This window comes from Homo sapiens, chromosome 1 (genome assembly GCF_000001405.40).
Source record: "Homo sapiens chromosome 1, GRCh38.p14 Primary Assembly".
Taxonomy (NCBI): domain Eukaryota; kingdom Metazoa; phylum Chordata; class Mammalia; order Primates; family Hominidae; genus Homo; species Homo sapiens.
The window spans coordinates 110,448,403-110,458,928 of NC_000001.11; the positions used below are offsets into that span (position 1 = coordinate 110,448,403).

At 49.9% G+C, this 10,526-nt stretch overlaps 1 protein-coding gene across 1 annotated transcript; it reads left to right on the forward strand.

Annotated features, from left to right (window-relative positions):
* The first annotated feature begins 2,746 nt into the window (after positions 1–2,746).
* Positions 2,747–8,956, forward strand: PROK1 (prokineticin 1). The gene is made up of 3 exons (NM_032414.3): positions 2,747–2,886; positions 5,559–5,684; positions 7,830–8,956. Exons 1-3 carry the CDS (start codon positions 2,815–2,817, stop codon positions 7,947–7,949), a joined length of 318 nt encoding a protein of 105 aa, NP_115790.1. The 5' UTR covers positions 2,747–2,814; the 3' UTR covers positions 7,950–8,956.
* The last annotated feature ends 1,570 nt before the right edge of the window (positions 8,957–10,526 follow it).

Sequence of the window (10,526 nt, forward strand, 5' to 3'; positions counted from 1 at the left end):
TAGGTAGCTTTTCTCCCAGAGCAGAAGGTCCTCCAAGGCTCGGATGGTCTCTTGATTCTTCTGTCACCAGCCCGGCCCAGTGTCACAGTGTACAGGTGGGCCTTACAGACTCATTATTTTGATTCTCACCTCCCAGGAGAATTTTATATTAAGGCATACAAGTTCATATGTTTATAGAAAAAACTGGCCATTGGTAGCAAATGCTGCTGTGTGCCAGGCATTGTGGTAAGCACTTCATATGCATCACCTCACTTAACTCTCCATCTGCAGTCAGAGGGATCCTTTCAAGGTGTGAATCAGGCCAGGTGCGGTGGTGTGTGTCTACAGTCCTAGCTACTCTGGAGGCTGAGGCAGGAGCATCGCTTGAGCCCAGGAGTTCCAGGCTGCAGTGAGCTATAATCACACTTCAACCTGGCTAACAGAGCAAGACCTTGTCTCTAAAAAAAATCCAAGTGTATACCAGATCCTGCCTCTCCCCTGCTCCAAACTCTCCAAGGGTTCCCATCACACTTGGAGTCAGGTTCCTGCCATGTCCCACAAGGCAGGCTGGATTTGGTCTTTGGCTCCTGCTCCAACTGCATCCCCTCCCATCCCGTCCCCTGGCTCACCTCACTCTTTGCTTCTCCTGGAACTGGCCAAAAAGCCCTGCCACAGGGTTGTTGCACTGACTTTTCATCCAGGCTCTGTCCAGCTCACTCCTTCACTTTATCAGTCATCTGCACAAGTGCCTTCTCAGACAGACCCTTACCACATCTAAAATATCACCACTTGTCAAGGTCTGTTGCTTTCCCTGCCTTTCTCCCCACCACCTTTTTTTTATTTTTTGAGATGGAGTCTCGTTTTGTTGCCCAGGCTGGAGTGCAGTGGCGCGATCTCGGCTCACTGCAACCTCTGCCTCCCAGGTTCAAGTGATTCTCTTGCCTCAGCCTCCCGAGTAGCTGGGATTACAGGCGTGAGCCACCACAGCTGGCTAATTTTTATATTTTTACTAGAGATGGGGTTTCACCATGTTGACCAGGCTGGTCTCGAACTCCTGACCTCAAGTGATCCGCCTGCCTCTACCTTCTAAGTGCTGGGATTACAAGCATGAGCCACTGCGCCTGGCCTTCCTTTTTAACAGTGCTCAACACAACTGGCCATTTTATTACAAATCTGTTTATTTGTCTATTACCCGTCTCCTTGACTATAGTCAAAATTACATGAGGACAGGGTTTTGTTTTGTTCACTGCTATATTCCCAGTGCCAAGAACAGTGTCTTCTATACAGTAGGCTCTCAATAAATATAGTCAATGAATAAATAAATAGATGAATACTCGCAAAATCGTATGATGTAAATGCTATTCTTATCCCATGTTATAGATAGGAAAACTGAGGCTTGGAGAGATTAGCAATATTTTCAAGGTCATGAAGCCATCGATCTGAATCAAAGCATCTGCCTCTGGGGGCTTAGCTCCCAGCTCCCGTGCTAGTTAACCTTCCTCTCTGCACTCATAAATGCCTATCAGCGTTTCAATGTGGAAACCCTAGACCCCTGTGACATTTGATAAGAAAGGTTTTGTGGATGAATCTGCTTGTGAAATACTACAAACTGCATTTCCCACTTGGTGTTTCAAACACTTATTAGCATATGAAAGGCCCTGAAAAGTTCTGCAAAAAACAAGCCGGTTTGTGTTTCCCAAATTTTTGACTGTAGAAGTCTTTTATTTGTTTATTTGTGTATTAACATATTGCAACACATACCTTGGGAAATGTTGGCTTTTATTACTGTGGAGAGAAGGCAGATCATCTGACAAAGCACTGGGAGCTCTCTCTGGGTCGTATGACACAGAGAGGGCTGGGGTCAGGGGCTTCCCTCACAGGCGGAGGGGCCATCCCGAAAGTCAACTTCCCACCAGACTGGCATCTGAGACCACCGTGTTTATACACTCACGGATAAGGCCACTCTCATGCTCACCCCTAAAACTGGAAGGCCAGTGGTGTGGCTCTGGTACCTTTCAGCCACAGCCCATACCAGCTCGGCTCTGCAGGGTACTGAGAGAGTGTGTGCCCTGTATGTTTGCTGGCTTTCTGCCCTTGGGTCATTGTACCAAGGGACACTTGCTGGTGTTCATCCTGAGCCCATGAGAGAGCAAATCCTTATGTGTGTGTCACTTAGGAACATCAGCCCCACAAGTCTGGTCTTTTTTTCCTCACTGTCTTATGGCTCCTCACTATAATTTTAACCTTTTAGAGAAATAAGGATACCACCTCACCCTCTTCTGTCTTCTCAGCTACCTCTGTGTTGAGCCCATGGTAAATGCCTAGATAAGTCTTGGTGTGAGTGAGAGGGAACCAATAATCTTGTATGTTGCATAGTTTGGTGCAGGGAAGCATAAATGGTGATGTTGCAAATCCCTTAATTCATTACCAGAGGCTTTCCTCTGCCCCAAGTAGGATAGAAGGATACCCAGAGGCAGAAAAGAACATTGAGTGAAATATACATAACTGTCTGAATCACTGCGTTCTTGGGAGAGTTAGAGCAACCGTCAAAGCCCCCCAAGTATCCATTTTTATTGGTTTTGATGTTGATTTGATGTTGTTAGAGATTCAGGTCTCATCTTCGCTTCTGAGATCATCTGAGTAACATCGGTGTTGGAGAAGGGAAGAGCAGAGATGAGGCATCCACAGGCAGCCCTGGATCCTGAGTGTAAACATCTGGGAGGAGGCGGGGGATGCAGGAGAGCCTGGCCTCCCCAGCTTGCCAGGCACAAGGCTGAGCGGGAGGAAGCGAGAGGCATCTAAGCAGGCAGTGTTTTGCCTTCACCCCAAGTGACCATGAGAGGTGCCACGCGAGTCTCAATCATGCTCCTCCTAGTAACTGTGTCTGACTGTGCTGTGATCACAGGGGTAAGTCGCCTAACATTCTCTGTGCCTTGGGTTTTGGGAAGATGTCAGGGTCTGCACGGGTTGTGAGCCCAGGAACCATGCAGGAGGCTCTGTTGGCTCAACACAGTGTGAACCAAAGGGAATGGGGAATTATGCATTAAAGGGATTGCATGCGATTTTCAGACTAGTTAGACCTCACTCTACTAAATGGGATCTGCTTTTGAGAAGCTGTGTATGAATCAAATCCTGTTTTCAATGTGTTAGCAGAGCATTGAACATTTTGAAGTTCAGTCCTTTGGTAAAGTGAAGATTCCTATTAAGTAATAAGGAATTCCTTTATAAAGTGGATTGGCAAACCTTAACTTATCTTTTGTGTGAATTTTAATTTTTATTTATGGTCTGATTCACATATTAATATTAATATTAATTTACATAGCATGTTGACTTAATTAAAGGCAGTAAGCTTAATTAAAGGTGGTAAGCTTATAAACTTCTATTGTATAAACTTAACCTCCGCTTAGAAAGGATATCTTTGAAACTCTTTCACTCTGTGCCTGCCTAGTTAGTTCTGAGAGGAATATGGGTGCCACTAACATTCAGCTGAGTGTACCCCAAAGCAAGCATCCAGATAACAAGTAGATATCCAGTCTCGAAGCAGAGAAGCAAAGGTTCAGCATATGGGCACTGTACAATTGGTTCAAAATATTCAGATCATGGTTTTCTCTCGGAAGTTTGCTTTTACCTCAAACCACCTTCAAATAGGGGCACATGATGTGTTATGGTAGCAGGACCATTCTTACTGAAGCAGAAAGCAATGCTGTACCTGAGAGCTTTCCATATAAAATCCACTGGAAGAAAAAGGTCGGGGAAGCAGGGAAACTAACTTTTAGTTCAGCCTCCACCAGCTTTTTACATGGATAGTGGAAATGTAGAGAAATGCCAAACAATTCCTGGAATTGGGTTAATTTTACCATTCACAGAAAGGACAAATTCTTTCTTTTCTCTTTTAAAGGAAAAACACTGAGTTCAAAAGAACAAATATTAAAGGCGAGTCAAATGCTTTTGAGATCCAAAGCAAAAATAAAAATAATTGTGAAGGCAGAATTATACCTAATGAAGTGTTTACACTGTAGGCTGCCCTTCTATGGGGTAGCTTGAAAATCTGGGAGGGCAAGAACAATGGAGAGAAGCCCCGGCTGCTGCGCGGTGAGGGCAGGAGCAGCGTGGTTGGCCTGGATGCCAGGCTTGCCTCACCACCCGTGCCAGCTCCAGCACTGGCCCAGAGTGACAGCAGGGCAGGCAGATCTGAGAGCGGCAGGCAAACATTTTCACGGTGAAAAGCACAATAGAGAGCACTTTTCCCTAGGTGAGGGAAACCCAGGAAAGACAGGTGAGTGGTGAGAACAGGGCAGTAAGGGGAAGTCAGGAACCCCCAGGCTCCCCACATCCTCCATGTCCTGCTGGTGTCCCACTTCTGATTTTCAGCAGGAGCCCAGGCTCCACCACCTCTACACTCCCCTGCTCCCTGGACTGTAACTGTCCCCACATCCAAGGCTTTATGATCCTTCTTCCAAGAGTGGGACAGTGATGCCCCACCTCTATGGGAGAAGAAGAGTCGACTGGGGTTTCCTTTACCCCAACCCCAAGCTTTTGTGGCCTGGCTGGGTGTGAGACGTGCCCTTGCTGGGCTGGAGACAGGCACAGCTGGGTGCCCACCACCCGTAACTCCTCTGCATGATCTGTGGAGCTGACATCCACTCTTTCCCTCTTGGGTCTGAGCAAGTAGGAGGCTTCCAGGTCCTGCCACGTCCCACACAGCAGCCTGAAGGTGCCCATAGGCTTTTATTGGAGAAGAGTGATCCAAAACCCAGCTTTGCATTTCAGCTCAGAAAAGCCACATAGCATCTCTGAGAATGGCAAGTGTGGATGCTTCTTCAGCAGGTCCCCACCTGAGTCTGGAGCAGTTAAGAGTTCTGTCTTCCCCGGCTCTGGCTTTTATTTAACGTGGGCTCATGTTAAATGTGAGCTTATTTAATGTGGCCTTCTTTACAAATGGTACCTTCCCCAAACCAGGCAGGGCCGCTCAGCTCCTGTTCTGCGATCCTCTCTGGGAATCATGGAAGTCAGTAGAGAAACCCTGGGAGAGGCACCTGTTCACTGGGGTGCTGGCCCCTCTGCTGAGGCTGGGCCACTTGAGGGCCAGGATGGGGGTGCCTCCATGCAGAGGGGAGGGACTGACCACAGTGCAGAGTCAGGGCTGGAGACTCCTGGTCCAAGGCAGCTCAGTACTGACCACCAAGGAATTTGGGCCATCAGGGTCCCTCCCACCTCTGAGAATTCTAATTAATTCAATTCCACCAGCATCCACTGAGCATCTACTTAGCCCTAGAAAAGCTATGCCTTCTAACCTCCAGCCTTGTCAGAAAAGGAGGACTGTCTTCCTTCTGAGTGGCCTCCAGGAGCTTGGAAGTTTCCTCAGATCCAGATCCAATGCCCCCCTGAGCCCTGAGCCTCCCCACGAGGGGAGCAAGGCAATAAAGTGTGGCCCAGGGTGTTCTGTTAGGCTAAGGCCGGGGGTGATACTCTCAGCCTCTTCTTGCTCCATCCTGATAAGGGCTTTTTGGATCTACCCTTCCCTTCTGCTTTCTCTTGGGTGCACTAATGAACTGTTCCCTTCTCTCTCCCTCCTACAGGCCTGTGAGCGGGATGTCCAGTGTGGGGCAGGCACCTGCTGTGCCATCAGCCTGTGGCTTCGAGGGCTGCGGATGTGCACCCCGCTGGGGCGGGAAGGCGAGGAGTGCCACCCCGGCAGCCACAAGGTACTCTGCAGACACTGCATAGGTGCACATATGTGGGTGGGCCATGCGGGGAGCAGAGGGTGATGTCCTGGGGCCTTGCTCTAGCTAGGAAGGCTAGAGAGGCTGGCTCCAGAGAGGCAGTCTAGGGAGGCTGTGGCTCCAGAGGACTTCACCCTCCTCTGATAGCTGATCCAGCCCTGATCCAGCCCCTGAATGTCCAAGGGGAAGCAGAAGGCTATGGGGTTGCTGTGCCCCTGCCATCAACAGGCATCCACCTTACTTAGTGCCCTGCAGATGACACATTTGTACATTTATTTGTACAGGGCCTGACATAATTCATCTACAAACTTCTAGCACAGGTTGGAGAACCACTGATCTTTATTTGATCCTCACTGCAACCCTGGGCAATGCTGAGGAAACTGACATACAGCAAAGTCATGTGACTTGCTCAAGGCACACAACCAATGAGACAGAGCTGGGACTGGAACTGCAGTTTTCCGATGCCACCTCTAGTCATACCTCACTGATGTTGGGCACTGCCTCCTTGTTTTTGGGGGGCAGCCTCAGGTGGAGGGGTGCCACTGATCTTATAGGCTGTTAAACAAGCTGGGCATTCCCAGCCCCTAATTTGCTGTGTGGACTTGGGCAAACTACCTCACCTGCTCTCAGGCCACACTTATATGATGAGTGGAGCAAACTCACTACCTCTAATGTCCCTTATGGATCTGATGAATTCAGATTTGGGAAGGATCTCACATGCCCTTTGCTCTGTAAGAACTTCCCTTCAGGGACACAAAAGTAGACCCACAAAATCGCCTTCCACACCTGGTCAGGCCTACAGTGAGGCAAGTGAGGTGCCCACTTTAAGAAGTCACTCTCTCTTGTGGCCTAAGTACATAGCTCCTGCCTTGCTCCCACTCCTTGACCTCCAGCTCCCAGTCCAGAGTCCTCTGGAGCCACAGCATCCCTGCTGCTCTCCCTCTCTGGAGCCACTTTACCACACTTTACCAGTTAACCAGTGAAGCTCCCAATTCCCACAGCTTTTTCATTAAAATGCAAATGGTGGTGGTTCAATCTAGTCTGACATTGACATATTAGAAGGCAATTAGGGCATTTCCACAGGCTCTCAGGTGACTTGCTTTCCTCCCTGGGCCTTGCCCCTCTCCCTACATGTACCCCTCTGTCTGAATTAGACATTCCTGAACACAGGCTTTCAGGCTTACCAGCTGTCTTCCACCTGGACTCAGGCATGTTTCCTGCTCTTCGGGGACTTGCCTGCACCCCGGCTCGGTGCTCATCTCTAGGCACGGAGCGTCCTCCAGCGGTTTCTCTCCCAATCACAGCCCCTGTCCAACCTCCTGTCCCAGGACGAAGAGGGGCTAGGGAGTGGTGAACGAGTCAGGACAATGTGGCAGTCCTTGTAACCTTGGGGAATGTGAGGTGGTTCAGCTCCAGATCCATATTCCCAATACAGACAACAGTGATAAAAAAACTAATGCTGAGTGCTTCCTGTATGCCACCCTTCATACTGGGTGCTTTTTGTTATTTTAACCTCTTTATAACCACATGTGGTAGGTGCTATTATTAAACCATTTTACAAATGATAAAGCTGAGGCACAGAGAGGCCAAATGATTTGCTGATTATCACACAGCTGGGAAGCGGTAGACCTGGGATTTGAACCCAGGCAGTCTGACAATGGGCCCATGCTCCTAACTTCTCCCTGAGGATACCCCATTGGTTTAGCACTCCTCTAGGGTGTGAGTCAGGGCAGAGATGGTGGCTGTCCTATTCACGGCTGCACTTGCAGCACCCACCATGGTTTTGAGCCCATAATGGATGAGCAACAAACATTCAATCAATGGACATGTGTGTGCGTGTGTGTGTGTGTGTGCAGGCACATGTGTGCTGAGTCTCCAGAGCCAGGTAGCCTGGGTGCAAATCCTAGCTCCTCCACAAATTAGCTGTGTGATCTTGGCGTATTGCTTAGCCACACCGTACCTCGGTTTCCTCATCTCTAATTGCTATTATTGTTGTGCTAGGTGCAGTGGAGAAGTGGGCTAGGGTGTGGGGGTGAGACTTTTGCCAGTGCTGGGCTGAGCAGAGACTGCTGCCAGGAGGCCCACCTACCTCCCTTTGGTGAAGGTGTTGATTTCTTCTCTCCTTAGGTCCCCTTCTTCAGGAAACGCAAGCACCACACCTGTCCTTGCTTGCCCAACCTGCTGTGCTCCAGGTTCCCGGACGGCAGGTACCGCTGCTCCATGGACTTGAAGAACATCAATTTTTAGGCGCTTGCCTGGTCTCAGGATACCCACCATCCTTTTCCTGAGCACAGCCTGGATTTTTATTTCTGCCATGAAACCCAGCTCCCATGACTCTCCCAGTCCCTACACTGACTACCCTGATCTCTCTTGTCTAGTACGCACATATGCACACAGGCAGACATACCTCCCATCATGACATGGTCCCCAGGCTGGCCTGAGGATGTCACAGCTTGAGGCTGTGGTGTGAAAGGTGGCCAGCCTGGTTCTCTTCCCTGCTCAGGCTGCCAGAGAGGTGGTAAATGGCAGAAAGGACATTCCCCCTCCCCTCCCCAGGTGACCTGCTCTCTTTCCTGGGCCCTGCCCCTCTCCCCACATGTATCCCTCGGTCTGAATTAGACATTCCTGGGCACAGGCTCTTGGGTGCATTGCTCAGAGTCCCAGGTCCTGGCCTGACCCTCAGGCCCTTCACGTGAGGTCTGTGAGGACCAATTTGTGGGTAGTTCATCTTCCCTCGATTGGTTAACTCCTTAGTTTCAGACCACAGACTCAAGATTGGCTCTTCCCAGAGGGCAGCAGACAGTCACCCCAAGGCAGGTGTAGGGAGCCCAGGGAGGCCAATCAGCCCCCTGAAGACTCTGGTCCCAGTCAGCCTGTGGCTTGTGGCCTGTGACCTGTGACCTTCTGCCAGAATTGTCATGCCTCTGAGGCCCCCTCTTACCACACTTTACCAGTTAACCACTGAAGCCCCCAATTCCCACAGCTTTTCCATTAAAATGCAAATGGTGGTGGTTCAATCTAATCTGATATTGACATATTAGAAGGCAATTAGGGTGTTTCCTTAAACAACTCCTTTCCAAGGATCAGCCCTGAGAGCAGGTTGGTGACTTTGAGGAGGGCAGTCCTCTGTCCAGATTGGGGTGGGAGCAAGGGACAGGGAGCAGGGCAGGGGCTGAAAGGGGCACTGATTCAGACCAGGGAGGCAACTACACACCAACCTGCTGGCTTTAGAATAAAAGCACCAACTGAACTGAGATGTGTGGTGTGGTATTCCTGCTGTCGGTTTCAGCCAGGGCCTATGCCTCTGTGGCAACCTGGGGAGGAAGGCAAGGACCAGGTTGTGTCCAGGTTGGGGAGGGGTGTGACTGGTGTTCCTCCCTTCCCCAACCCGGCCAGGGTCTCTTTTTCGGAGAGAGTGGATTTCAGGGTCTTTTTGAAGAAAGGATAAGAGGCAGCCTCGTGGGCTCTGGGCAGGTGGTACGCTGCTCAGAAGGGTTGGGGGCAGGAAGGGGCTGTGAGCTGACATGGGCTGGAAAGATTCCATTGCTGAGATTGCTTAGCAGGGACCAGCTGCAACTCTCATTTTTGAAATTTGGTCCCATTTGTTTTAGGTTAAATATTTGACCCCACCAGGCCACTGTGTGCCTGGAGTGAAGAAATCCACATTACTGATGGAGCTGGCAAGGATGTGAGCCCTCCATCTTAACCCAGAGGCTGGGAGCCTCCTCTAAATGTAGCTTCCTGGTCTCGCTGTCTCCTCTGCTCCTCAATTTTTAGTCCAGAAAAATGTAACATACAATAGGAAAGCACATCGTGTTCCATTCTATTTCTTAGAAGCCTCCAGGAAGACTATGGTGGCTGAGGCCTGGAGGGCTGGCTCTGCGTGTGTTCTCCATCCATCAACTCTCCCTGCTCAGGGGATGCCCAGGACAGTCTTTTTTTTTTTTTTTTTTTTTTTTTTTTTTTTTTTTTTTTTTTTTTTTTTTTTTTTTGAGACGGAGTCTCGCTCTGTCCCCCAGGCTGGAGTGCAGTGGCGGGATCTCGGCTCACTGCAAGCTCCGCCTCCCGGGTTCACGCCATTCTCCTGCCTCAGCCTCCCAAGTAGCTGGGACTACAGGCGCCCGCCACTACGCCCGGCTAATTTTTTGTATTTTTAGTAGAGACGGGGTTTCACCGTTTTAGCCGGGATGGTCTCGATCTCCTGACCTCGTGATCCGCCCGCCTCGGCCTCCCAAAGTGCTGGGATTACAGGCGTGAGCCACCGCGCCCGGCCCAGGACAGTCTTTACTCCAGGACCCACTTAAGCCAGGCCAGGCCCCCACAGGGTCCTTTCTTTGTTTGTTTTTGTTTTTGTTTTTGTCTCCTTTTACGGACATTGTCACCTGCTGTGGTGACTTGGGACCTTCTTGCAGCCCTTGAGTCGCTTTCTCCCTTGGTTTCAGGCTCAGGTCCTGGATATAAAGTTCCCTTCCACGTCCAGGATTCCATTTTGACCATGGCTTGTCCTTTGACATTCATAGCTTTTCTCGAGGTACCATTGACTGCTGCCTGGTGGACTTTTGTGGAGCCCTTTCTAAATTGTGACCCTCCCTGCAAGCAGAGCCATCCTGGATGAGGCAAGTTCTTGTCTCAGAGCAGCGGAGGGCAGGCTAAGGTGGCTGCAGGCACCAGGACACCCCGTGGTGCTCACTAATATGCCAGTTGCTGCTGTGTAATCTGTTAGGGTGGTGCAAAAGTAATTGCAGTTTTGCCATTAAAAGTAGTGGAAAACCACAATTACTTTTGCACCAACCTACTAATTGGACCCATTTTCATATTTTCTTT

What these genes read in the sequence shown, in the direction of transcription:
- PROK1 (NM_032414.3), top strand. Translation starts at nt 2,815, where the DNA reads ATGAGAGGTGCCACGCGAGTCTCAATCATGCTCCTCCTAGTAACTGTG. An exon ending in ACTGTGCTGTGATCACAGGG is followed by an intron (nt 2,887 to 5,558) that starts GTAAGTCGCCTA and finishes TCCCTCCTACAG; the next exon opens with GCCTGTGAGCGGGATGTCCA. An exon ending in GCCACCCCGGCAGCCACAAG is followed by an intron (nt 5,685 to 7,829) that starts GTACTCTGCAGA and finishes TTCTCTCCTTAG; the next exon opens with GTCCCCTTCTTCAGGAAACG.